At 39.4% G+C, this 27,990-nt stretch overlaps 1 protein-coding gene and 1 long non-coding RNA gene across 19 annotated transcripts in view; one reads left to right on the top strand and one right to left on the bottom strand.

Annotated features, from left to right (window-relative positions):
• SORCS1 (sortilin related VPS10 domain containing receptor 1) overlaps positions 1–27,990 on the top strand; it is a 607,476-nt gene that overhangs the window by 504,344 nt on the left and 75,142 nt on the right. For all 17 annotated transcript variants that reach the window (XM_017015617.1, XM_047424547.1, XM_017015615.3 and 14 more), the window contains 5 exons: positions 1,639–1,746; positions 3,810–3,927; positions 5,428–5,558; positions 8,993–9,106; positions 24,242–24,413. In XM_017015617.1, coding sequence (XP_016871106.1) covers positions 1,639–1,746; positions 3,810–3,927; positions 5,428–5,558; positions 8,993–9,106; positions 24,242–24,413 — 643 coding nt within the window. The remainder of the gene's footprint in view (positions 1–1,638; positions 1,747–3,809; positions 3,928–5,427; positions 5,559–8,992; positions 9,107–24,241; positions 24,414–27,990) is intronic.
• LOC105378473 (uncharacterized) lies at positions 13–27,896 on the bottom strand. Of its 2 annotated transcripts, XR_946299.3 has the most exons (3): positions 27,650–27,896; positions 11,471–11,569; positions 9,086–9,495 (listed from the first exon to the last, which is right to left on the bottom strand). It is a non-coding gene; the product is annotated as an uncharacterized LOC105378473 (long non-coding RNA). The 2 variants fall into 2 exon arrangements; XR_946300.4 differs by lacking the exons at positions 9,086–9,495; positions 11,471–11,569 and adding an exon at positions 13–650.

Raw genomic sequence — 27,990 nt, 5'->3', positions numbered from 1 at the left:
AACTTTCTCAAGTTTTAAGACAAGGAGGATCAATTTCTGTGTTTATTCAAAGAAACCATAAACATCAGTTCTATGGGACAGTTGGGCCAGTTTCAGAATGTCAAGGTCTACTAGAACAGTGGAGGTAGGAAAGAGAGAGAGACACAGACAGAGAGAGAGAGAGGGAGAGTTTTACTCCATGAGAGAGAAATTGCATTATACTTTGCAAATGTGATAATACTTTCACCCTCACACCCTCACCAGTATATTATTCTCTCAGCACGATTACAGGTAGAACAATGTTCATGATCAGGTATAGTCTCTGAATAGCTTGACTTCTTGCAGTCACCTTTCCCAAATAACATCTCCTGGAGTTTAATATCCATATCCATTTTTGCATTCCACACAGAGATGATCAGTGCATGACAGTTCTGCTCCAGTCTCATTTCTCCTGATCTTGCTTTCTTATTTTTCTTTTTTGAGGTGATATTCCACAATTCTGCCTGTGCGTGTCCCACAGATGGATGTATAAAGACTAACTCCCAGAGGAGTTATCAATAGGCTCTTTTAACTGTGTTTTTGAAAGTGGTTCTCTCCGTATATGAGTTTGTCCAAAATCAAAAGCCTGGTTTTCCTTCTACTGTTAGTCAGTTTGATGACTGAAGGGAAAGCTGCAAAAGAGAGAAAAAAGAAAGGCTAAGCTTGGGCAAGGGCATTCATAAAGAAATGCAGAGCAAAGAAAAGGTCCTCGGTGGCCATCTTAGTTCATTTGGCCTGCTATAACAAAATACCATAAACTGGGTGGCTTATAAACAACGGAAATTAATTTCTTGTAGTTCTGGAGGTTGAGATGTCCAGTATCAAAATGCTGGCAGATTCAGTGTCTGATGAGGGTTCCACTTTTGGGTTTATAGATAGCACCATTTTGCTGTATCCTCACGTGGTGGAAGGGCAAGGCACTTCTCTGAGGCCTCTTTTAAAAGATCACTAATTCCTTTCATGGGTGGTCCACCCTTAGGATCTAATCACCTCCCAAGGTCTCCACCTTCTAAAATCATCATATTGGCGATTAGATATTCAACATTTGAATTTTAGAGAGGACACAAGCATTTAGAGCATTCCAGTGACCATCAGGACTGAAGAATTATCTTCTCTTGCTTTCAAGAGCCTATCTTGTACTCATTCATTCAGTAAGGTCAACCAGGATTTATGGTTGTAAGAAGGACACACTGAGGACTTGGTCACTTAGAGATGGGTTGGTTGAAATCTAAGTAAGTCTTACAAGGTCATCGCTCTTCAGGATCACCTGTAAGACTTGTTAGACAGTAGAGAGGTTTTGGACAGGGTCAAGAGCTTGAGGCCTAAGATATAATAAAATATCCAAACTTTCAACAATTTTATAAAAGACTTATAGTTATTCTCATTTAATGTAGCTCTGCTTTTATTGATGTTTTAATACATCTGTGTCCCGGTGGCTTGGCTAACTGTATTTCTACTTTCTGATATAATTAAGAATACTTATTCATATGAAAGGCTCATTTTGACAAAATCTCAGCTACTTTTAAAATGTATTATCTCTGGGTTGAGAGTATCTTTCCTTTGAAATGACATTTTTTTTTCCTTTGGAGATCTGATGACTGATATTTTTTATATCATTAGGTTGAGTTTTGATGAAGGGAGATCTTGGAGCAAATACAGTTTCACATCTATTCCACTTTTTGTGGATGGGGTTCTGGGTGAGCCTGGAGAAGAGACTCTCATCATGACGTAAGTTGAAAAGTATGATGTGGTCCAGCCTTCATAGAAAAGAGTAATCCACAAAAATGTTTTATAGCTAAGCCTGTTTGATTTGCAGCTGTTAGGTTCAAGGTTGTTGCATCTTACTGCAAGAGTGTACAGCAAATAGGGAAGAAAAATGTGGGCAGCTATTTTCTTGGTTCTCTGATAGTTTTTAGGAGACCCAGACTGAGGCGCTTAGAGAAATTAGAAGTGATGATTTCAATAGGAAATAAAGCTGTACATTTAAAACTTCAGTAATAAAGAACCTGGATATGTAGAAAATCTCAGGTATATAGGAATGAGTTCGCTTTAAGTCAGAGCATAGTTTCATCAAAATGCCACAAAGCATTGTATTTTTCCCTGGCTCTTTACCTAACCCAATTGTGAGGCATATTAGGAAAATCATGAGAACAGTCTGTTATTGTGAAATTGCATTTACACTCATTTTTGTCTGGAATGTGATGATCATTAATTTGTGAAAGATTAATGACGCTGCCTATGGGTTTCAATACATGGACTTTGAATTTCAAGTATGAAACTGTGAGAGTTCCTTCCTTTGGAAAACTGGACATGGAAAGTAGAAAGGGAAGGTTATAAAGTAGTTGATCTGGTCATCAATGAAAACTTTCAAGCCAAAGTCAATACTTGGTAAGCTAATTCTCTCCCCTACCACTACTACTTTTTTTTTTTTTTTTTTTTTTTTTTTTTGAGACGGAGTCTTACTCTGTCGCCCAGGCTGGAGTGCAGTGGCATGATCTCGGCTCATTGCAGGCTCTGCCTCCTGGGTTCATGCCATTCTCCTGCCTTAGCCTCCTGAGTAGCTAGGACTACAGGTGCCTGCCACCACGCCCGGGTAATTTTTTTATAATTTTTTTTTTTTTTTTAGTAGAGACAGAGTTTCACCACGTTAGCCAGGATGGTCTCGATCTCCTGACCTTGTGATCCACCTGCCTCGGCCTCCCAAAGTACTGGGATTACAGGTGTGAGCCACCACGCCTGGCCTACCACTTCTGCTTTTTAATGGTAGAAAACAACAATAAAAATCTAATATGCCTAATAGCTACACTTTTCTCAATGAGAGACGTAGCTAAATTAGCAATGCATTCCATAATTTGTCTTTCTTCAATTTTTATATTTTCAAAACAGATTTTAAAAAACTGACCCAACAGGCCACTTCATGGCTTTTCTTCAAACCTATGGTTGGTAATTCAAACATCTCAGTAAATACTTAAGTCTCTCTGAGTAAAGAGAGTAGAATGTACAGTGTAGGAAACCATTATTAGTACTTGGTTCTGCTGATCACTTTCACTAGGGGCTGGTGGGAAAGTAAAATAGCATGGAAACCATGGGAACTATGTACATTAGCAAGATAACCTAGAAGTCTAATCTTGGACCACATAGAATACAGCATTTATGATTGTTTTTCTCAACCATATTTTCTCAACCAATCCTGTGGCACAATATGTACAAGTGGGCTCTTGAATTAAATACTCTGGGTCTGGTTCTGCCTGTTATTATGACTTGATTTTGTTTTTGCAATGTTAACAAAACTCATTGAATCTCATATTATCTATCTGCGAAGTGGATCCAGTAATAGTACCCTCCTCGGCCAAGTGCGGTGGCTCACACCTGTAATCTAGCACTTTGGGAGGCCAAGGCGGGCGGATCATGAGGTCAGGAGATCAAGACCATCCTGGCCAACATGGTGGAACCCCATCTCTACTAAAAATAGAAAAAATTAGCTTGGTGTGGTGGCTCGTGCCTGTAATCCCAGCTAGTCGGGAGGCTGAGGCAGGAGAATTGCTTGAACCAGGGAGTCAGGGGTTGTAGTGAGCCGAGATCGCACCACTGCGCTCCAGCCTGGTGACAGAGCGAGACTCTGTCTCAAAAAAAAAAAAAAGTACCCTCTTCATGAATGCGTTTTGAGGATTAAATGATATGATTCATGTAATGTGCTTAGCTCAGGGTGAACGCCCCACAAATGCTCTCTGTTGTTATTACTCATTACATTGTTATCATTGTAATTATTTTTATCACCATGAACTCTGTAGAGTGTTTGGACACTTCAGCCACCGCTCTGAATGGCAGCTGGTCAAAGTAGATTACAAGTCCATTTTTGATAGACGGTGTGCCGAAGAGGACTACAGACCTTGGCAGCTGCACAGCCAGGTAGGAGGAAAAGAACTGAGACTAAGGCCTGGGCAGGAAGCATGAGTGGTGTTGGGGGAAAGCTAGTTGCTAAGGTATAGGAACTAGGATGCTCTAGGCCAAAATGTCCATCTACTGTTTTCTTACACATTTGTGTTCCACAGCAGTGAACAAACTCACCATTAATAGCTTGTTGTGAAGTCATTTCTGTTTTTATTGTGCTAGGATATAATGAGATAAAATTCAAATGTGCTTGGCTTAGGCTTACAAATCAAAATGAAATACCAGTTCAGCACTCAGATCCAAACATATTTCATCTGAGAATGTCATATGGTTGCATGGTGGGGGCAGGGATGAGGAAGATATCTTCAATTTTATCTAGCAATGCAAGCAGAGACATAAAATAACAAAATTATGCTGGGTGAGTGTTGCCGGAGAAATCCTTCTTCCCCTTTGCCTTGATTCCTTGGAACTATATGGTACTTTTTGCCTCCTTGCAAGGTACTTCTGGTATGAGAATGCAGAATTATTAATAGGAAACTTTCATTTGTCCTGGCCTCTCACATATCCAGCTTATATCAAAATGCTTGGATGGAAGTGTCTCTCCCTTGATTTCCCAAGGTACAAGTCGTTCCGCAGATCTCTCAAAGGATTTGGTAGAAGTACCTGCTGCAAAGCCATCACCATATTCAGGCAGAAAAACGTCATATACCTCAAACCTAGACTAAGTAATATATGTAAATGTAGATGTATAATGAAGCCAGTTAAAGTGAGTTTGCTCAAGAAAGACGGTGTACAGTAGATAAAGCAAAATTCTACTCTGATCTTTCAGAAACACAAAAGGAGGAGTGTGTCTGATAGTGGGCCCTGCGTTAGCTGGAAACACCCACCCTATTCAGAGGCTTAACAATAGAATCGTTCATTTACATTGCTGATATTTTCTCCTTTGGGATGCACAAGCATTGTGATATTCAAAGCTTTTATTTATTTTGTGGGAAAACACTGAATTTAGCTCTCTCGCTTGTCTGGTAGAGGAACATTAAAATCTGTGCTGTAAAGTTGTGTGGGCAGAGGCATAATAAATCGAGGCAAAATTGATCTTTATATTTCTTAGCAATGCTCCTCTTTCATGCCCTCATAAATGACCAACTGTATACATCTTTTATTATAGGGGAATTGAACTTAATTACTGCAGATTTACTGGCAATACACTAGGTACAGGCTGAGTCTGTGTGTCCTTCATAGCACTGCACCCAACACTTTGCCAAATAAAGGCTTGATAAGTGCACACAAAATTAAGGATGTTGTTTAATAATCTTCAATGATTGTTAGGATTGCCTTTATAGTCAGGTTGTATAATAGGGCTCTAGACCGCAAAAGGAAAATGTTGTTAGCACAAAGAGGGCTACCAAAGTTTACATTACACTAAGATGTGCAAATGTCTCCCTAAATGTCACTCATGTGGAGCAGAGAAAGTCCAAGCTATGTGCCCAAGTATCTGTGATCCTTCTCTGCTTACAGGGGGAAGCATGTATCATGGGAGCAAAAAGGATATATAAGAAGCGAAAATCAGAGCGGAAGTGTATGCAAGGAAAATATGCAGGAGCTATGGAATCTGAACCCTGTGTCTGCACTGAGGCTGATTTTGATTGGTGAGCTTGTGCAATTATCTCCTGGAGCCATTTGGTGTATCAAATCCACATGGGCCTGAATGAAAGCTTAGAATTGAAATAATAGTAACATACATAGGGCTAAGTGGCCAGCTTCATATTCTTATAAAATTACCTCATAGTTTACTAGCTATGTGTATGTGTATGTGGGATAATCAAGAGTTTCTTTAGACTGAAAGAGGACTCGGAAGATGGCTGGTAATTATCTTCATTACCGGCAGATTTGGCCGGGCATGGTGGCTCATGCCTGTAATGCCAGCACTTTGGGAGGCTGAGTGGGGCAGATCACTTGAGGTCAGGAGTTTGGGACCAGCCTGGGAAACATGGTAAAACCCCGTCCCTACTAAAAATAGAAAAATTAGCTGGGCATAGTGGCGGACACCTGTAATCCCAGCTGCTCGGGAGGCTGAAGCAGGAGAATCGCTTGAACCCAGGAGGTAGAGATTGCAATGAGCCACGATCGCGCCACTGCACTCCAGCATGGCGTCAGAGTGAGACTATCTCAAAAAAAAAAAAAAAAAATGGGCAGATTCTTTCTGTGCTGCTTCAAACAGCAACACTGGAAACACTAAGTGGACTTTTTAGGGAGCAAACAAACATCTATGCTCAAGATGAAAGCTTTCTAGAATCTAGGATTTCCTGTAGTGGAATAATAGCCTTTTAAGGCAGAAAATTTTCTGTCCCTGCAAGTTTTCGATTCGTAGTTAGCTGACCATAGCTTATGAGATTCATGGAAGATGTTGCTGAACTCAGAGCAAGGATGGATTCAATGGCATTGCAAATCTGTAACTCGGTGAACGTAGTGATAAAGGAGACTTTTTGCTTTACCAGGATTAAGCTAATTTAAACTGGAGAAGTACTGAGACATTTAGAGGTTAAACTAAACTCAGAGTGCCATAAAGTCCTTCTTGAGACATTTGCTCAGCAGAAAGCTAGCTTGTGGGCACTGTGAAGCCCTTGGCTTGTTGTCAATGTTAATTGTTCAGGTAAGGCTTACAAAGTATTGAGGACAAGTAGGTGGTAACTCCCTTGATATTTTCCATCTCATTTTCCATTGTTTTCTTCCCTCTTCTTTTTGGTTTTCATGTATTCGTTTATTTGTTTTTAATTTAGAAAACACAATCGCTAAATATGTACATATGTGTTAAAAAATTAATACTTGACCCGTATAAGAACTAAAGTCATTTTTCAACAATTTATTTCTAGCTGTATAGCAACCTCAGGTTACATATTGAATCATTAAAATATCAGTGACTGAACTGAGATACTGTGTACATACACATCACATATCTTAGAAAAGTTAAGCCTTCTCTTATGGTAGACATCTGGAGATATTCTCTGAATAAATAGTACTAAGAAGGTCTGACAAGAGTGGCAGCCAGCCGTCAGACCAGTAACCCACAGCTGTATCCCCTTGTTGGTGAGGACGCCAAGCCAAGAGCGAATGAAGTATCTCTTTGGGCTCAGCCAGAGGGCAACAGAGCTTCAGTTACATTGGAGCTCAAATCTTCAGGGAGCTCAAATCATCGAAATCTTCAGGGGCCTCCCCAGTGTGACTTCTGTTTTAGTCAGTGCAATATTATTACAATGACAAAAATATTTTATCTCTGTACTACCCTTTGGGACTAACATCCTGAAATGCATTCACAGGGAAAACTACCATGAGATTTTAAGTCATTCATTGCATCCCTCTTTCTGAAGCCACTGCTGCTTCTTCGTTTACTGTATTCAAGGAAGATTTGCAAAGGAAGTTAGCATCTTACATTAGTGGTTTAGCTTTTGCCTTAAGAAACAGCCATTCTTTAGCAGGAGGCAAATTTATTCTCTGGTAGAAAACCAAAGAGAAAAAAAAAAATGAGATGAGATGAGATGTCCCAATGTCCTGATTTCTCCTTGAAACATTTGCTTCTCTGGGAATCTTTTCTACAGGCTTCAAAGTAAGCCAGTCTTTTGTTGTTGTTGTTGTTGTTGTTGTTTTTCTTTTTCAATTGTAAGCTAGTCCAGAATGAAAGGAATACCAGATAAGGAAGGCAATTAGATTTCTCCTCTCCCGTGTCTCTCGTGCCCCTTAGTCTTGGCCCAATCCCTGCATTCATTTGTGATTGGAATCGGCTACTCATCCCACCAGCTGAAATGCATTCTGAGAAGTGGGAAATGAATCATGAAGGAGTTCATTGTAAGGTTTTCTGGTCCAGTGGGATTTCTGTCACTGCATGATTTCTGAAAATATTTGGGAAGGCTCATCACAACCTTGTTGGGGTTCTACCGGTAGCTGGAGTTTCGGTGATTACACCTGGCTGTAGTGTAATGAAAGGTGATTGTCACTGAGTGTTTCTCCTTGGTTTGGCCCTCTCCTGGACAGTCCCCCAAATGACCTTGCCTGTCCCTCTCCAGCATTCGTAAAGTAACTTCCTGAAGCAAACACTGGTTGTCCTATAGGCAGCAATTCTGAAGTCTTCCTACCCATGCTGCATTGAACCAGCACCAAATCCTGCTGGTATGTGCAAAATTCTAAGTACCAGCTGCCTGGTGACAGGCCCCTGAGCTGAGCCTATTTCTCCCTTACTGACCCTTGTGTGCCAGCATCTCACCTCCATTACACAGATGGGCCAGTTCATACTAATGCTTGCCGATTGCTGCCTGCAATTTGTCTGTGCATGTGGAGGTGCAATTTGTTGTCATTCTCTGTGCCCAGGTTCATCTGCCAGTTGCCAAGAATATCAGGCAACTCAGAGGCTCCTGGAAGCATGAATGAGAGGAGGCTGAGAGGGAAGTCTTTGGCTATTTCCGAAGTAGAGAGAGGATTTAAAACAGTTAGTCCCAAGTGGCAGCGCTAACTGCCTAGTGTGAAACATTTCCTTAGGGGAATGCTCGAGACACTCCTGAAGGACATTTCCTTTTTGGCTGTAACTTTGAAGCATATGGAGTGTACACAGAGAGACCTGGCTCAGTTCTCTTGGTAGATCCAGATGTCTTGGAAGAGCATCCCAAAGACATCACCAGTAATGAGGACTGTGCCACATGTGGCCGTGTTAAACTCTGCGATGAATTTCTCACCAAGGGTTGAGTTCCACCACACCCGTTTTCTCATTACAGCTTTCTCTGGGCCCAGCCACCTGTATTGTGTATCGTTCTAATGAGAGCACAATCTACTCTCTCAGCTTGAGAGTGTTTAAATGGAATGACCAGTTGTGTAGGATATTTTCCTGAATAATTAATTGATAGATATTCTATGAAAAAAGTTCTATTTTTGAGAAGTCATTGATTCAGGGAATGCTTGTGTTTTTTTTTTTTGTTTTTATTTTTGTTTGTTATGACTAATTGATTAGTGTGGAACTTGGCTGTGGACTGATGTAGAATTGTTTTCAGTAATTTTGCCACCTAGTGAAAGGTTTTTCTCGGCTCTTTCCTAACAGCGACTATGGTTATGAGCGACACAGCAATGGCCAGTGCCTGCCGGCATTTTGGTTCAATCCATCCTCTCTGTCAAAGGATTGCAGCTTGGGACAGAGTTACCTCAATAGTACTGGGTAAGTGTCTGGAGTAGTGACCTTGAGAGGCCAACCTTTGCTGCCTTTCAGCACGTGTTATACTGACAGAATTACTTCTGATCAAGGACCAAGCATATTTCCTTACAGCACAATGTAATTGCTTTTGTTCATTTTAACAATGAAGCACAACTTTGCACTAATAGTGCAAGTTTCATGTGAGAATAAGATTCCAGTTGCAAATTGAAAAAAGAGAAATGTTTCTTGATTGAAGATCACAATGATGATATTAAAAGTGTCTTCATTTTCTCGACACTTTGTTTTCAAGCTATTTAATCCTGTGAAGTTACCTTTTACCGTCATTGTATCCATGATGAGGAAGGCCAAATAGATATTTAATATTTGCATTTTCTGTTTTATAGATGTGGAACCTGGAATCACAAAAGGAACTCACTGACTTTTCAAAAGTATACTAGTGTTAATACGAATGTATTTTGCTTTCTCTTTATGTTCAGTCTTGACACATTTAAACATGCATTCTGACCTTTGTAAATCCAGAATCACATTCTGAAATTTGGTATTTAATATTCTGTGTCATGGGGCTTATGCAATATTATTTAAGAAATACCATAATAAGGAAAAAAAATCATAAATTTGTCTCAAATGTAGTAGGTATCTATAAACTTTAAAATAGTGTGTAGAACCTATTTAAATTCTGATTCAAACAAATGATCTGTAAAAAGGCACATTTGAGCCATTGAGGAAAATTGAACATATACTAATTCAGGTAATGTATTAGTTAGGGCTTTCCAGAGAAACAAAACCAATAGGATGTATATTTATTTAGAAAGAGATTTATTGGCCAGGAGCAGTGGCTCACGCCTGTAGTCCCAGCACTGCACTTTGGGAGGCTAAGGTGGGCGGATCACTTGAGGTCAGGAGTGTGAGAGCAGCCTGGCCAACATGGTGAAACCCCATCTCTACTAAAAATACAAAAAAAAAAAAAATTAACTGCACATGGTGGTGTGCGCCTGTAGTCTCAGACACTCAGGAGGCTGAGGCAGGAAAATCACTTGAACCCAGGAGGCAGAGGTTGCAGTGAGCCGGGATTGCACCACTGCACTCCAGCCTGGGTGACCGAGTAAGACTCTGTCTCAAGAAAAAAAAAAAAAAAAAGAGAGAGATTTATTGTAAAGAATTGGCTCATTCGATTATGGAGGTAGGTGGGTCCCAAGATCTGCAGGGTAAGTCAGCAAGCTGGAGACCCAGGAGAGCTGACAGTATAGTTGTAGTTCGAATCTGAAGGCCTGAAACCATAGAACCAATGTTGTAGTTCTAGTCCAAAGGCCAGCAGACCTGAGACCCAGGAAGAGCCTATCTTTCGGTTCAAGACCGAAGGCAGGAAAAGAGGCCAGTGTTCCAATATGAATGCCATCAGGCAGAAGGAATTCTCTCTTACTTTGGGAACTGTCAACCTGCTGAATTCAGGCCTTCAGCTGATTGGATGAGGCCCACCCTCACTAGAGAAGTCAATCTGCTTTACTCAGTCTACTGACTTAAATGTTAATCTCATTTAAAAATACATAGAAGTGGCCGGGTGCAGTGGCTCACGCCTGTAATCTCAGCATTTCGGGAGGGTGAGGTGGGCGGATCACAAGGTCAGGAGATCGAGACCATCCTGGCTAACATGGTGAAAACCTGTCTCTACTAAAAATACAAAAAATTAGCCAGGTGTGGTGGTGGGTGCCTGTAGTCCCAGCTACTTGGGAGGCTGAGGCAGGAGAATGGCGTGAACCCAGGGGAGGCAGAGCTTACAGTGAGCTGAAATCGTGCCACTGCACTCCAGCCTGGGCGGCAGAGTGAGACTCTGTCTCAAAACAAACAAACAAACAAAAAACCCACAGAAGTGTAACATTTGACCAAATATCTGGGCATACTATGGCGCAGTCAAGTTCGCATATTAAGTTACCCATCATAGGTGATATTAAAGAATTATATATTTAGGCATGATAAAGTCATTTTGGTTAGGCTAAGAAAAAAATAAGTCTTATTTTTTAGAGATACATATTTTTGTGAGTTTTGTTTTAATGTGTTAAAAAGCAGATAAGTATTGATAATTTTTGGAGATGGGTAATGAGTACATGGGAATTTATTACATTACTTTTCTTCATGCATATTTGAAAGTTCTGATAATAAAAAGTTAAAAAGAAGCTATTGTGGTAGCACATGCCTATAGTCCCTGCTACTCAGGAGGCTGAAGTGGAAGGATCGTTTGGGTCCAGGAGTTCAAGGCCACCCTGGACAACATAGGGAAACCCCCATCTATTAAAAAAAAAAAAAAAGAGAGAGAGAAAAAAAAAGGGAAGGAAGAAGGAGAAAGGAGAAGTAAGGAGATAGGAACCTTACCAATCAGCCAGTTTTACTTGACAAAGCCCCTTCTCCTTTCTTGAGCCAGCTACAGTACAGAGAATCCACTTGAGGGGGTGAGACTTCCATTTATGTACTCTGTATTTGAAATTTTAAATGTGTTTAATTTTTATAAAAGATTATCAAAATAATAGATACTATTCTTTTCAAGGAAGGAAAACACATAGAAAAGGATTGTAATGATTCCTATTTCTGATGTTAGGGATTCCTAGAACCTTTGAATAAAGGAATAAGCTATGATTTTTTTGAATGATAACACGACATCCAAGGAAATATAAATAACACTTTTATAGCAATGGGTCAGTGAGGTCTTAGCATAGTACCATGGAGGAAAAAAATGAAAAGGTTAATAAAATAACTAAACTTAATGGGGAAGGAATGCAAAAGACAGGAGTTTTATTACTTGCTGGTACTAGCATGTTTAGATACTGTAAAGGGCATTGGAAACCCCTCAAGCTAATTTAAGAATTGATTTTTTTTTTTAACCAGCTCAATCAGTCAAGGAAGTTATATTAGTCTGTCTTTGGTATTGATGATAGGAGGCTGAAACACAGAGGGATCAAATTGTTCCAGATGCTACTCAATCATAGACCAAGGCTGAATGATACCTGTGACCCCTCACTCTTCAGTTCATTGAGATCTTTTTTTTCCTCTTTGTTTTTGAGATGGAGTCTCACTCTGTTACCCAGGCTGGAGTGCAGTGGCACGATCTCGGCTCACTGCAACCTCCGCCTCCCAGGTTCACGCCATTCTCCTGCCTCAGCTTCCCGAGTAGCTGGGACTACAGGCACCCGCCACCAAGCCCAGCTAATGTTTTGTATTTTTACTAGAGATGGGGTTTCACCATAGTAGCCAGGATGGTCTTGATCTCCTGACCTCGTGATCCACCTGCCTCAGCCTCCCAAAGTGCTGGGATTACAGGCATGAGCCACCGCGCCTGGCCCATCTGAGATCTTATAAATTCTGACTAACATCAAATAAAACATCAGTGACGATTAAGTAATTTTATATTCAAAAAGAATACCATCTATGCCATATAAAATTAAAATCATAATGTCAATTAAAATGTGACTTAGCAATAAGCATCCAGGTATATAAATGTTGGTCAATGCAGTTGTTATGTTTAGTAGTCACGAAATTACAACACTACCTTCTAGGACTCCACCTTAACTCTCAGGGGCCTGTTCATTTCTGTGGGTATTACACGATAGCATCTGACCCCAAATGATTTTTGTTAAGTTGCCACGTCCACTGGTTTCGTCTGTTCCGTTTAAAGATTTTGCAGAAAAGCATCAGCATTGGTGAGCAAGCTAGTGTAAAGAGAACATATGATAAATACCAGCCATCAGCGGGTATGGTAAATGTCCTGCTCTCATAAGTAAGATGCTCACAGGTGGAGGAGTGAATACCCAAATAGGGTCTTATACACTAAAGTCACGGGAGTGGTTGTCAATAATAACCCCACTGATCAGCATGTTGTCTAAGCTACACATTTTGCATTAGGAACACGAAGACCCTTAGCTGGGACAAAGGCCTGAAATCATCTACAAAGAAGGCCTCACACCACTGAATTCACATTAGCAGTGTCTGTAGCCAACTCAAGAGTTGGCAAGAGGTAAAATGTTGGTGAACTTGGAAAAGATGGAAAAGAACTTTCTGCCTCCCTTAATGTCACTTCAGCCCCTCACCACAGATGTCATTTGGCTATGTGTTGATTCAGTGGTATTTTATAAGCAGATTCAGTATATAATCTTGTAGCCACTAATAATGCTGACACTATACATTTAGATTTTTACTTAAAAAATATTTAGTTACAAAATAAATGTGTATGTTTTATATGTTTAAAAGCCAATTTACATCATCATCCCAATCCTGGCCCCCTTTCCCCACACAACTGTGATCTGTTTGATATGCATACTTCTAAATACTTGTCTTTGCATTTGCTAGTAAATACTTGTCCCAAGAGAAAATACACAAATTAATTTGGGAGGTTGTTTTTATATGTGATTTCCTACTAGATACATTGTTCTTCTATTTTCCTTTTTCATTCAAAAATATGTCTTAAACATCTTTCTAAGCCAGAGTATATAAGGGCACTTTCTCATTTCTTTAATTTCATAGTATTAAGTATTATTATAATATTATCAGTTATCCTTCTTCCATGGATGTTTGGGTTATTTTGTTTTTTCTGCCACTATAAATAATGCTGCAGTTAATATTCTCATCCCATAAAACTTGTTATACAAATAATACAAAGATAATTAAGTCTCTTTTGGCAATTGGAGGTGTTTCTGTTAGCTCATAATGCAAATTCCACTCAGCCAACTGGGTACGTCTCAGACCTGGGTATCAGACATTGCCACATCTCTCCCTTGTAAGGGTTAAAACACTGGCTTCCTGCTCATGGGCTGCCTGTGAGTCCCAAAAATTAGAGATTCATTTGTATTAAGTGCCGTCCTCCTTTAAAATTCAAATGCCAGTGGATTCTGTAAAGGAAAGCTGAGGGGAAGGAGAAGTAGGATTTAGCCAAATTAATAAGGTGAGGAAGGTCATTTCATGCAAAAAGAACAAGAAATGATCCTGGGGAAGGGCCACAATAGTAGTTTTCTCAAGGACAAGCCCAGATGCCAATGCCTGCATGCTTATAGAGTTAAGCAGCCACTGGGAACCCTGTGTCCAGTGCCATTTTAAGCCATCCATGGTCACCTCATGCTCAGTCAGTGCAGAATCTGTATTAGCCTCAGGGCTGGGATGAAGTGCAAAGGAATCGCAAGTGTAGGGCTGGCCAGAGAGTGAGCCCCTTCATAAATGTTGCTCCCTGGGCACCTCATTTGTCTCACACTTTTCTTACAGCATAGCTCATGATACAGACATGCAGTGGGAAAATGAATTAAGTGGGGTGAATGACCAAACCTCCCAGCATCACCTTTCTGAGAGTTTATTTGGAAGCATGCAGGAAATCATTCCTTTAAAAAAAAAAAGTTCTTAAATAACTCACTTTATAAATGTCTATGGTTACTTTCACTGTCAGCTTATTACCCTGTGTATATGGCAGTGTTCTCAGGTTTACCTGCTTCTCCATGATGGGGAAATCCTGGCATCGGTTATTATTGTGCCCAATAAAATGCTATTTTGATGAGATGCCAAAATATTTATCATCTTTACTATGTAGAAGTGAATGGTTGCACAATTTTTGTTTTAGTTGCTGGCTAGGACTTAGAAAGGATGGATGGAATAAAAAGTGAACTTGGTGCAGAATGTCCCTCCAGGTGGCTGTAACCACCAGTCCTGCTCCTTGGTCCAGTGGCGTCAGGGTTTCTCATACCCACACAGTGGAACAGTAGAGCCTGCTGTGTTCTCCACGATTGGCTCCCTGCCTCTATTCAGCCTCTGTCCTCACAGCTTCTACATGTCATTTGACATGAAGGTGGAAAGCAAGGAGGCTGGTACTGGGGCCTTAGCCTGTTAGGGATTGAGAGTGAAATACAATTGGGGATGTTTTGTTCGGTGAAAAAGTGAGTAATTGGAATGAAACAATTAAGGATGTTCAATCTAACCTCTGCCATTTACTGTTATGTTTAGTAAGTGACTTTGTTTCCTTGACCTTAGTTCCTTAACCTATAACATTTTGCTATTTGCCTTCAGAATTTGATTAAATGTCACACTGTATGTAAAGCATGTAGCACAATGCCTAGCACATAGTCATCACCTTACAAAATGTGTGTCATCACCAATAGTTATTGTCTGAAGACTCCTCTAGAGTAAAGAAAGAAGGGAAAAAACTTACTTTTATTATGAATCCACAGTCCAGACATGTATTTGATGTTTAATTGTCACTGCAGTAATAATATCTGAGACATATTTAATGTAAGTCTCTGTTTTCTCATTTGTAAAACAAAAATAGTAACCTATGCGGCTCATAAAGTTACATAATTAGAAAGTGATGAAAGCACTGTACACCAAAGCACGTCTGTCCCTTTATGCCACTCAGGCCAGATAATGTGTTTAGCTGATTACTGAACGAGTTCCTTTTGCTCAAATAAAATGAAAGCAGTATTCATTTGTATTTTATTTCATGTTAGTGCCGAAATAACCCCAAATTTATTCCTCTTTGTTTCTCTTTCGGTATCTATAAATATCTCAGTATGCACATCCACAAGCACAAGCTCATTCAGTGATACTTATATATGGTTAAATCTTGTTTATACTGTTTTGGAACCGGGGAGCATACTGCAAAATTTAAGTTGCTAAATTAACTAGCATGTTACTTGTTTCATGCCAGTGGTAAAAGATTCTGTAAATATAAAATAAAGTGGGCAGTGGGTTGGTTTATTCTAAGAAACCAAGATAATCTTCTCAAGGGAAAGATTTCTTCCTGCTATTAAGCTGGAGATATTTCTAGAGGTGCTTTATAAAGTACGTTTAGAAATTTCTATCTGTAGAGTTTCTTTATAGGGGCCATTAATTCCTCATGGAAGAAGGTACAAAGACAGTTCTTACTGCTCTTCAGGGTTAGTTTCTCAATATGCAATGGGGACTTTTTTTTTTTTTTTTGAGACGGAGTCTCACTCTATTGCCCAAGATGGAGTGCAGTGGCGTGATCTCAGCTCACTGCAACCTCTGCCTCCTGGATTCAAGAGATTCCAATGGGGATATTTATACAATAAAGACATTTTTAAAAAGTTTAAGTTAGGTATCTATTTACAAATATACAGTGGGTCCAAGAAAAAATACACACATAAATTCTAGCAAAATAGTTATGTTTATACTATCAAGATACATTTGGAATGTTTTAAAAGATGCTTTTTATAAATAACTTTTGGTGTTTCATTTCACAGTAGAGTGACTATAGTTAATAATAGCATGTTGTGGATTTCAAAATAGCCAGAAGAGAGAAGTTTGAATATTCTCACCACAAAGAAAGGATAAATGTTTGAGGTGATGGATATGATGGATTTAATCATTACACAATGTATATATGTATCAAAACATCACACTGTACCTTATAAATATGTATAATATGTCAATTAAAAATAAAAACTTGAAAACTTCCTCTCTACATAAGCCATAAAACACTTAGATTCTGCTAACCTGCCACTTCCTGGATTTGCTATTTCCAGTGTCTCTGGAGCTTTGGTCTTTTCCAGGTGATTCTGTTTTGGTTGCCTTGTGGGGGTTTTGATGTTTGGTCTGATCTCCTCTCAAGGATACTTTTCAGTGTGCGTCAAGGAGAATAATTGGCCCTAAAAATGGTGCATGTGTTTAAAGTCCACAAAAAGGCAATCACTTGCATTATTTACAGACTCATCACTGCAGGGGCCTCTGTAGCTGTTTTCTAGCCAAGAACCATACAGCCTCACTGCACACACTCAATAATTGTTGGTTGCTACAGAGTCAACTTTCTGAAGAAAACTTTCTTAAGAAAACCTTTCTTAAATGAGGTTTTCCATCTTTTCATGCATGACACTGGGGTTGGGAAATGAAGGAAAAGGTGAATATCACTGTACATGGAGACTTGCTTTCTCACATGGCGATTCTTGCCCACATCAATGGCCTTGGCATTAACAATTCTTATCCTGGTGCTATGGTACAGTGGCAAGAGAACACCAGACTTAGTCCAGAGTCCCAGACGTGCCAGTCATCCCCTGTGTGAGGTGCAACTCTCTAAACTGTGTTTCCTTTTCCTTATGTGAAAAGCAAAAGGATAGTGTTGGATGATCTTAGAGACCCCTTCAAGCTTTAACATTTCCATGACCAATTGAAAGGATTCAATATTAGAATTCCTTGGACTGTAGGCCCTCAAAAGATAGAAAACAAATTCATATTAACTTAGTCGTACAACTGGTAGGCTCAGATAGTGGATTCTGTGAGCCATTCTCAATCAGTATGATTCTCGATATTAAGTGATTTAGTGAAGTGTGTGTGGCCATATGTCCCAGTTCACCATTTCATCAAGCTCATGTTCAAAATGAAGTCACATTCCTATTACTATTCAAATTAAATGACGTCTGCTTCCATCCTGCTTAATGCAAGAGAAGCTTTCTTCTTTTTACCTGGTCTTCTGTCTTATGCCTATCCGCTAATTTCTAGGTCTGTTTACTCCATTGAGGGGAATAGTCCAAAGAGCTGTTGCCTTGAAGAGAGAAACTTGGAAAGCCTGCTTAGCCAGCCATGGAAGTCTATTCCTGATTGCTGATGCTATGGCTGCTACATAAGATTATTGTTGATATGTGGACACATTGTCACTCCTGAGCATACTTTGTCACATGGGATCCCAGTTAAAGAATAAATGACCATTTTGGGGCTGCCTGTGTCTATTGATGAAGAGTCACAATGGTTAATATACAGCCACCAATGAGGTCTGTCAGCCTGGAAGTCTGGTATAATCCCTATTCTGGTATATATAATAGGAGATCAGGAAATCTAGGCTGCCACCACTACTGCTTTTTCAGAAGCAGTTTCTCTGGATGCAGGGGTAGAAGAATCTCTCTCTACCCTAATTGTTAAGCCATGCCATCGTAGCCCTGTATCTTCATGTGAGAGATCTATAGTTACATAGCTCTTTTAATTTACACACATGAACATAACACATATAGCTGTTTTGTCATTGCACACCTACATTACTAAGGTGGTGGATTTGGAAGATTTTAAGTCTTAGCCACATACTCTATCAAGAATTAGCCCCCTTCTCCATCCCCAAGGCTTCCTTCATTTCCTGCTTCATTAAGCCTAGTGTCATTGTAACAAGGCAGTATTTTCCCTTGAAAGCAAATGCACATAGCACAAGCCAAGAAATTAAACTATTTATGCTTTTTTTTTATTGTGAGTGCAAATGAGGACCACCGTTGCTCAATGACAGTAACACCCCCTGGGGTACAAGAAGACCTAGAGTTCCAGTTTCACCTTGGTTGCATGTGATAACTACCGTGACAAAAGGGAAGAGGAGGTTTCACAAAAAGCATGATTTTGAAGCTGATTTTTTTTTTTTTAAGGATGAGTAGAAGTTTGCCAGTAGGAAAGAGCATCCCGGGCAGAATGAACAGCACAGGCAAAAGAAGGCATTTAGTATACAGAATGGCTTGGTTCAGGGCGCATGTCAGGCCATGGATGATGCTAGAAAAATGCATTGAGGTCAGGTCGTGGATCTTTACTTTAAACCTGAACTTTACTCTTTAGAATAAGCCCATGGGAAATTTTGAATGATTTTAAGAAAGGAATTGACATAATTGGATTTCATCTTAAGACGACCTTGGCAATAAGAACGTCACTTTTATTTTGGGGGAACTTGAAATATCATAGCAAGTTAATATTTGATACTTAAATACTTTTTTCTAACTTTTTATATTTTAATATTTATTAACGTTCTAAATGTGCTGAAATCTATGCTAAGCCCTTTTCAATGCATTGTCTCATTTAATCTTCCCAAGAACTTTAGGAAAAGATTCCATAATTATCCCTAATTTGTAGGCAAAGAATCAAAGATTTGAGAGAGGATGGGTAAATTGCCCAAATTCATAGAGTAAGAGAATGAATTTAAACTCCGACAATTTGGTTCTACAACACTAGTTTTAACCTTCAGGTCAGTAGTGTTTATTTATTTTCTTGAAAAAAATACACACACACACACACACACACACACACATATAGTGTTATATATTTTTGAGATATATAATATATATTTATTATATATATTATTTCAATACCTTTTGGAGTACAAGTGGTCTTCGGTTACATGGATGGATTGTGTAGTGATGAAGCCTGAGATTTTAGTGCATCCGTCATCTGAGTAGCATACATTGTATCCAATATGTAGTTTTTTCTCTGTCACCCTCCTTCCTCCCTCACCCTTTCTGACTCTCCAAAGTTCATTATACCACTCTCTATGCCTTTGTGTACCCATAGCTTAGCTCCCACTTATAGGTAACAACATGTGGTATTTGATTTTCCATTCCTGAGTTACTTCATATAGAATAATGGCCTCCAGCTCCATCCAAGTTGCTGCAAAAGACATTATTTCATTCTTTTTTTATGACTGAGTAGTATTCCATGGTGTATGTACACCACATTTCCTTTATCCACTCATCAGCTGATAGGCACTTAAGTTGGTTCCATATCTTTGCAATTGTGAATTGTGCTGTGATAAGCATACATGTACAGGTGTCTTTTTGCTATAATGACTTCTTTTCCTTTTGGTAGATGCCCAGTAGTGGGATTGCGGGATTGAATGGTAGATCTAATTTTAGTTATTTAAGAAATCTCCATTCTGCTTTCCATAGACGTGGTACTAATTTGTACTAATCTACATTCCTACCCCATATATAAGCGTTCTCTTTTCAGCACATCCACACCAACATCTATTGTTTTTGACTTCTTAAATTTGTAGTCTTTAACCTTGGCTGCAAACTAGCATCACCAGGGGAACCTAAAAACAAAAACAAACTGATCCCCATAATTCTCAATTAAATCAGCATTTCTGTTTGCAGAGCCTGGGTATCCATCTATTTTAAAAGTACCCCCAGCTAATTCCAAAGGGTAGACGGGGTTGAGATCTACTAAGCTACTAAGCTACTGTCACCTTAGTATACACTGAATACTCAAAAACATCTGTATCTTGCCATCACCACCTCAAAATGTCAAAAAAAAAAAACCTACTAAATAGAAAAGTCACAGATTACAAAGACTTTTAATGCTTCCTTCCAGTTTTACTTTCACAAAGAAAAATATTGCCTTCATCTTTTTTCTTTTCTTTTTTCTTTTTTTGAGAAAGAATCTCGCTCGGGAGTGCAGTGGTGCAATCTCAGCTCACTGCAAGCTCCGCCTCCCAGGTTCACACCATTCTCCTGCCTCAGCCTCCCGAGTAGAGTAGCTGGGACTACAGGCGCCCGCCAGCAAGCCCGGCTAATTTTTTTGTATTTTTAGTAGAGACAAGGTTTCACTGTGTTAGCCAGGATGGTCTCGATCTCCTGACCTCATGATCTGCTCACCTCGGCCTCCCAAAGTCCTGGGATTGCAGGCATGAGCCATCATGCCCAGCCTATTGCCTTCATCTTTTTTAAGACTTCCAGGTAGCAAAGAAGCAAAGTCAAAGAGGGTAGGGGCAAAAAGGAAAATGTGACAGAAGCATATCAAAATAGGGAGGAAGAGAATAGCTAAAAATTGGGGTTGTTGGAGTAGTAAGATCCTATCTACTGGTGAGCCATCGGTAATATCAAAGGCACATTTGCAGAATGTTTCCTTTTCAGTAATTGTACAAAGACTCCCTTGCCATTACAAAGCACTTTTCTTCTTGGCAGATTGAAGAATGCTTTACCAACTAAATGCATCCCAGTAATATTCAGAGCGCAGGTCCAACATAATCATAAGTTGCCTTGTTATTACGGAGGTAGCAGCCCCATTTAATAACATATTAAATGCATTATTCATTTATGTAACTCAGACCCAGGGACAGCTGCTGGGATGAAAATAGAACCATTCTGTAATGCAAAAAGCAGGTGTGTGCTTACTTGAGTAAATGAACTCTGTATTACGGCACAATTTTCTTCTAAATTTCAGGGACAGGTCTGGTAGGGCTAATGTGATGCCATTTTCATACAGGAAATAAAATGGTTTCAGAATGGTTTTTAATGAGCATTTAAAAAAATTACCAACAGCCTTTTCTGTGGCATAGTCCCGGGGGGATGGATTCGTGCTTTGGATTTAAGCAGAACTCCTGTTATTGCAGGATTCAGGAAAGCCTAAGGTAATGATTGATCAGAACAGTGACAAACAAAAGAATATTCTCTAGCTGATGATGCTAGTGGTGATGGTGAACCAGTGTTTCTATAGCTGCCCACCAAGAGAGAATCACAGGTGTGCTTGGATGTTGAGTGATTAAAAATCATAACCTGACTTCAGTTTGCACAGTGCCTTGCCTCTGAAACCTGTAGACAGTCTCTGATGCATGGTGAAACTCACTGAGATGCCACAATTAACCTGGGTGACATCACTGGTCATTTTTTTGCTACTATTGCTGGTACCAGGATGCTATCATACACCAGTGTCTGCATTTTGTGTTTTATTTCCTTCTCTCTCTCACCTGCCCTTATTTTCTCTTTTACATATACTTAAAAGCAACTACAAAGGATTTTTAAAAAAATAAATATCAGATGAGGCCAGGCGTGGTGGCTCATGTCTTTAGTCAGCACTTTGGGAGGCTGAGGTGGGCAGATCCCTGGAAGCCAGGAGTTTGAGACCAGCCTGGCCAATATGGTGAAATGCCATCTCTACTAAAAATACAAAAATTAGCCATTCGTGGTGGCACATGCCTGTAATCCCAGCTACTTGGATGGCTGAGGCGAGAGAATCGCTTGAACCCAGGAGGTGGAAGCTGCAGTGAGCCATAATAAAGCCGCAGTGAGCCAAGTAAAGCCTGGGCAACAGAGCGAGACTGTCTCAAACAAAAAAAAAAAATCAGATGGAATGATGTTCAAATTGCTTAGGCATAACAATGACCAACCAGCATGGGCAGTTATCTTATGTCTGGAGCGGAGTTTTGGTGACCCCCTCATAGGCTAGGTGTTAACCCATAAGTTTCCTAATTGTGAGAAGCAAGGACTCTAAGGACAGGGATCAGCATAGCTGGGTTGGTAAGTGAGATGCTTGGAGGGTTTGGGGATGTGGTAATAACCAATTATTATGCAGATATTTCCACATTTAAACTGGTACAGTTACTGGTATGGACCTCCTGATTACCAGCTTTGAATATCTGGAACACAAGGAGGCCCTCAAGGAGCTTGAATTTCACACAGTCACACCAGGAAGAAAATCATACAAGGTATAAAGAATTCCTATCAAGTAAATCGTAAGGATTCTTTTAAGGGTTTAGAGGAGGGATAATCTTACTCCATTTAAAGTAGCAGTGCAGTAGTAAAGAGGGGATGTGTGCTAGAGACAAATTGTCTAGGTCCTGGCTATTTGATCTTGAGAAAACTAGTTGACACCTATGAATCTCAATTCTTCCATCTGTTTATTGGGAATAATTACATCTTCCTTATTATGGATACTTCTGAAGATAAATGAGTTAATTTATGTAAAGAACTTAGCACAATAACTAGGACATAGTAAGCACTCTCTAAATATGAAATTCCTGCCATTTTACTCTTATATTCAGGGAAATTGTCTTAGAGAAGACAAGAAGTAAGCTGTACCTTAAAGGGTGGGCAAATTTTAGGCAGCTGCTAGGGCATGCAGGAGGACACTGAAGCAGAAAGAGAGAGAGGAAAACAGAAGTACTCTCAAGAAGATTAAAAAGAGAATGGACATGGGCTTATGAGGGAGAAAGAGTCCAGGAAAGCAGAATAAAATTAGCTAGTGCAGGGCTTCATGCCCAGGCCTACAGAATTTACAGCTATCCTAAGGTCATATGAAGTCCATGAAGGTTTTGAACAGAGAAGAAAAATAGTAATAATATTAAATAGAAATAATTGGTAATATTTTATGAGCACTTGCAGAGTATTAGGATACTTTTAAGTACTCTGTGTACATTAACCCATTTAATTCTTACATTTAACATATGAGATAAGCATTAATAATTGACATTGTAGTGATCTATAGTGTTCAAAGTACTTTTCCAGACAGTATCTCCTTTGACTTTCTCACAGAGGAAAGGACATTCACTAGACTTAAACGCATTGGAAAACTATGCCAGTTTTGTAAATAAAGGTTTTCTGGAATCCAGCTGCATACATTCTTTTATGTGTTGTCTGTGTTCACCTTCATACAGTAAGTGCAGAGATAAGTAGTTGTGACAAAGTCTACATAACCTGCAAAACTGAAACATTCACTATCTGGCTGTTTATATAAAAAGTTTGCTGACCTCTGGTCTAGAAGAGTGGAAAGTAAGCTTTGATTGCATCTTATTTGGGCTCTACCACTAACTCTAGGCAAATAAACTTGGGAAATCAAATATATACATACATAAAGTGGTTGCTGCAGACCCAACAGTATAAAACGATAATGGCTAGATAACGCTGAACCTCAAAAATCTTAAAGGTTTGTCATCCTAAAATTGTACATTTTAATTTTCTATGAATCTGATAAATTATATAGGTTAATTCTGTAGAATAATTTTCCCTGTTAAAGCTAAAACAAGAAATAAGCAAAAGAGCATCAATCTGCAAAAACTGAAGTCTCTTTAATGTGAGGTTTGATCATTTAGCCAGTATAACCTCTCATGAAAGACTGAGTAGAAATATCCAGTTTAGCCAGTGTTTTCTGTGCTACACCATTACTGTAGCAGTCTCTATGAGATCTGTGAATGTTGAGTCATATATCTATCATAATCTATTTTTTCTCTGAATTGTAAATTCCTTTGCGATATTTATTACTCATTCTAGTCCTTAATTATATAGCCTTTGAATTATCTCCTAGATTAGCCATCTATGTCTCTCCAACTAGCTTATAAACTTAGTGAGAGTAGGGGCTATATCTTCTATTTCTGTGCATTTCCCACAACTTCAAAATGAAGTGATTCATTAATTTAATAGATGAATAAAACTCAGTTACAATGCTAGTAATAGATACAATGTGTGACCATGATTATCTCTCTGTTGGGTGCTTTATATGAATTAACCCTACTCCTCATAGTAGCATGAAAGATGGTTAGGTGCTTACTGATGGTCCTCAGGGCTAGGCACTATGTCTAATTTTAAAAAGTGGGAATGATTCACATTATAATGAGCTGGTTTACGACTTGAGCTTTTTTCCATTTAGGTACAGGAAGGTGGTTTCCAATAATTGCACTGATGGCGTAAGGGAACAGTACACTGCCAAACCGCAGAAGTGCCCAGGGAAAGCCCCGCGGGGGCTGCGGATAGTCACGGCTGATGGAAAGCTGACAGCGGAACAAGGACACAACGTCACTCTCATGGTGCAATTAGAAGAGGTAGGACTGATTCCTATCTCCCCCCTACTTTCTAGGGCCAGTGATTTTTCTTAATAAACCATGGTTTTGTTTCCATATCTTTTTCAACTTTCTCCATTTTAGATGCTATTTAAAAATTTTTATTTTACTTTTAGTTCCTTGTTTTTCTTTTATTATCACTTCACCTTCCCTGATCTATTTCTTTAATTACTTACATTTCACTGCAAGTTATTCTTCACTCATACTTAATCTCTTACTCTTGGAGGATCTGTTGGATTTAATCTTGCCTTATTGGCACTTTTAGCAAAATCCATTTTCTCAGAATACATAAATAACATTCCTGAAATAATTTAATACGTACATATACTAAACTAACCTAAGAGATGCTAATACTTTCATCCCCTCTCAGCCTGCAGGGTTTTCTTTTCCAAGGGCAACACGATGGTCATGCATATAGCACTGAGGCCAATGTAAACATAATTGAGTGTAATTTCTTTGGCAGTTAAGAGTTTGTATTGTGTAGCACCTCAGGGATATCATTAAAAGCATACATTATTATTTGCCAGATTATGGTTGTCTGAAATGTCTGAAATTTATATGGTGGATAAGATGAAATTTATCTTATATATTTTAGAACATACACAGGAATTCTGTCATCTTGTAAATGGGGAAGATGGTCTCCAAAGGATAAGTACTTACATTAAATCATCTCGATTATTAAACCAAACAGTCCTGTCCTCAGTCACGTTTTCTGGGTACCTAATTATGGTTATCATTGTGTAAAGCTCTGTAAATATGAAGGAATTTTAAAGGCTAACAATGACACCCAGGATTAAAATACATAACATTGACTTCCAACTTCCTCTGCTGATAGTCCAGGGACCCTCAGTTTTTACCATGTATAAGAAAATCACCTGGAGAGCATTTGGAAACACAGTTTTCTTGGCCACATCCTTAAAGATTCTGATTCAGTAGGTTGGAGTAGGGCCCAAGAATATACATTTCTAACAAGTTCACAGGTTGTGCATTGTGCATTGTGCTTCAAGAAAAACAAAACAGTGGCAAGGCTGGGGTATAGAGAAGTCGGAGGCTCTGGAGTGTGACAAGAAGGTGGAAAGATGAAGCAATTATGATTGCTTTGTCAGGTTTGATGAAAATTTTTAGTATTTTGATTCTCATAGGAAAAATAACTGTGAAATAACGAGTTTGAAATCTAGCTCAAACGATGTGCATATCTCTGGTCCAAGGGCCATTTACAGACTGTGTAACCCCATACTCCTTTCCTGATTATCTCCTTGATGTGTGCCTCTCAATTATATCCAATCTTCTAAATACTAAGATGCCCAAAAATTCTTCAGTTGGAACTAGAAAAACACAGGCCAATTTAGGCAAATTGGAGTTGCTCATATTTCACATAAATAAACTCTGGAGGTTTCTGCTTGAGACTATGACAGATTAGCCTGCAGTAAACCAAATATATGCGTATATATTTAGAGCAAGAGGGACAGAGAGAGAGAGAAGAAGAAGAAAAATGAAGAGGAGGAAAAGGAGGACTAGGAGTTAAGAGAACTATCAGGAGGATTGAGAAGCTAAAATTCCTTTCTTAAGAGATGGGAAATTGACTGCAGTGAGTCCAACATTTTATGCTATATTTTCCTTTCGAGAACTTTAGCAATTTATATGCCACACTATAGAGGAGGTTCAGATTTCAGATTTCCAGTAAAAGGCCGAGTAGAAAGTGTTGGCTAAACAGGTGTTAATAAACTCACAAGGCTTGGGAGATAAAAATTGGACTTTGAGGATATTCCAAAGCTAGGACTGATGAGGTCATGTCCCAGGGAGAAGGAAAGCACAGGGAAGCAGCACACATACAGGGCCTTTTTCCTCCCTGAGGTATTTCATAATACCCAAGTAACACAGGAAACATAGAAAGCACTCAATAAGAGGCTGAGAAGTTAAAGGTTTTAGAAGTATCACCCTTCGGGGAGATAAAGATTTGAATTCAAGACCTATCAAGGAGGAGGGCCCTGGTGAACTATCTGAGACTTGGTTCTTGGAACTTCTGGAAATCTCTATCCTAGGAGTGAAGGCAAACCCAAATTAGAACAAGCCCTCTGTACCCAGAAATCCAATCTGAAATCACTTCAGTCTCTGAATCGATTAGAGTGACTCTCTTCAACTCTAAAATGATTGTTAGAAACCAAAGTAAACCTTCTTTAGTGGAAAATAACATAAACCAGAGCTTTACCTAATATTTTTCATATAAAATGTTGGGCATTTAGAAATATCCAAGTATATCAAGATATAGGACCAAGAGGGGGGAAAAACAGAAAAGAACAACAGTTGGATGATATATAGTGTTTATTTAAGATATCCTGTAAAACAACAATGATTATTATGTTCATGAATGTGAGAAAAGGTGGAAAATTGAACCCCAGAGTGGTAATCAATAAGAAATACCAAATAGAAATTGTAAAAATAAAGATATAATAACTGATATTAAGAACTTAGGTTTACAGGAAATTGAACCCATATGAATAGAAGTTAAATGGAAGAAAGGACAGCAGGAAATACGCCATCTAGAGCATAAAAGAAAGAAATAGAATATAGAGAAAAAACAGTAAGAGACAAATGGAAAATGATAAAAAGGTCTAACACAGATGCAATTGTAGCCTCAGAAGGAGAGGAGAGAGATAAGGAACCTGAATCATTTTTGAAAAGATCAGGGCTGAGAATTTTCCAAGCCTGATGAAAGATATCAACATATTAACCTATAGATTTAACAGAATCAGCAAACTCAAGAAGAATATGTGCAAAGAAAAATCACTGAGCTATTACATTCAAACTGCTGAAATCTAAAATCAAACAGAGGTGTTTAAAAAGTCCAGAAGAAAATGGAATGACACCTTTGAAGAGCTGCAGAAAACACAAATAGTTTTTTAGATAAACAATAATAGAGATATTGAAACAAGAAATGTTCCCTTGTCCCCCTAACAGGCGTGTGATGGGGGTGTTGCTCGCTTCTTCAGTGTCCCACTGCTCAAACCTCTAGGGGAGCATACAGGGGCAGGCTGCAGGGCTCTGACCCCACAGCAGTGTCTAGGGGTGAATGTTTACAGCTCCTGAAGCCCCAGTAGGCGTTTGCTACCATGTGCTCTTTCTGTTTTGCGGTCTGTAGACAGCTTGTCTTAACCAGCTCAATTAGACCTTCTACCTTGTCGCAAGGACAGACGGCTTTCTGTATCCCGGGTTCTTACCTTGGTGCACTGGAAGAATCGGATCACACCTGGGCTTGGAGAGTGAGTGCAAGGTTTTATTGAGCGGAGGTAGCTCTCAGCAGATGGAGGAAGCCAGAAGGGGATGGAGTGGGAAGGTTTTCCACTGGAGTCCGGCCACTCAGTGCCCCAGCTAAACTCCGTATAGGATAGTTCTCCTGGTCGGTGGCCTGCTGGCATGCTGGTGCCTGTCGGTGCATTCCTCTCCATGTCCATCTGCCTGTGTGTCTGCTTGCTAGGGTGTCAGGGGTTTTTATAGGCACAGGATGGGGGCAGGGCAGGCTAGGGTGGTCTTGGGAAACACAACATTTGGGTGCAAAGGC

The sequence above is a fragment of the Homo sapiens genome, chromosome 10 (assembly GCF_000001405.40).
Source record: "Homo sapiens chromosome 10, GRCh38.p14 Primary Assembly".
Classification (NCBI taxonomy): domain Eukaryota; kingdom Metazoa; phylum Chordata; class Mammalia; order Primates; family Hominidae; genus Homo; species Homo sapiens.
The sequence above is the reverse complement of the archived record's forward strand: the minus strand, read 5'-3'. Positions and strand labels throughout refer to the sequence as shown.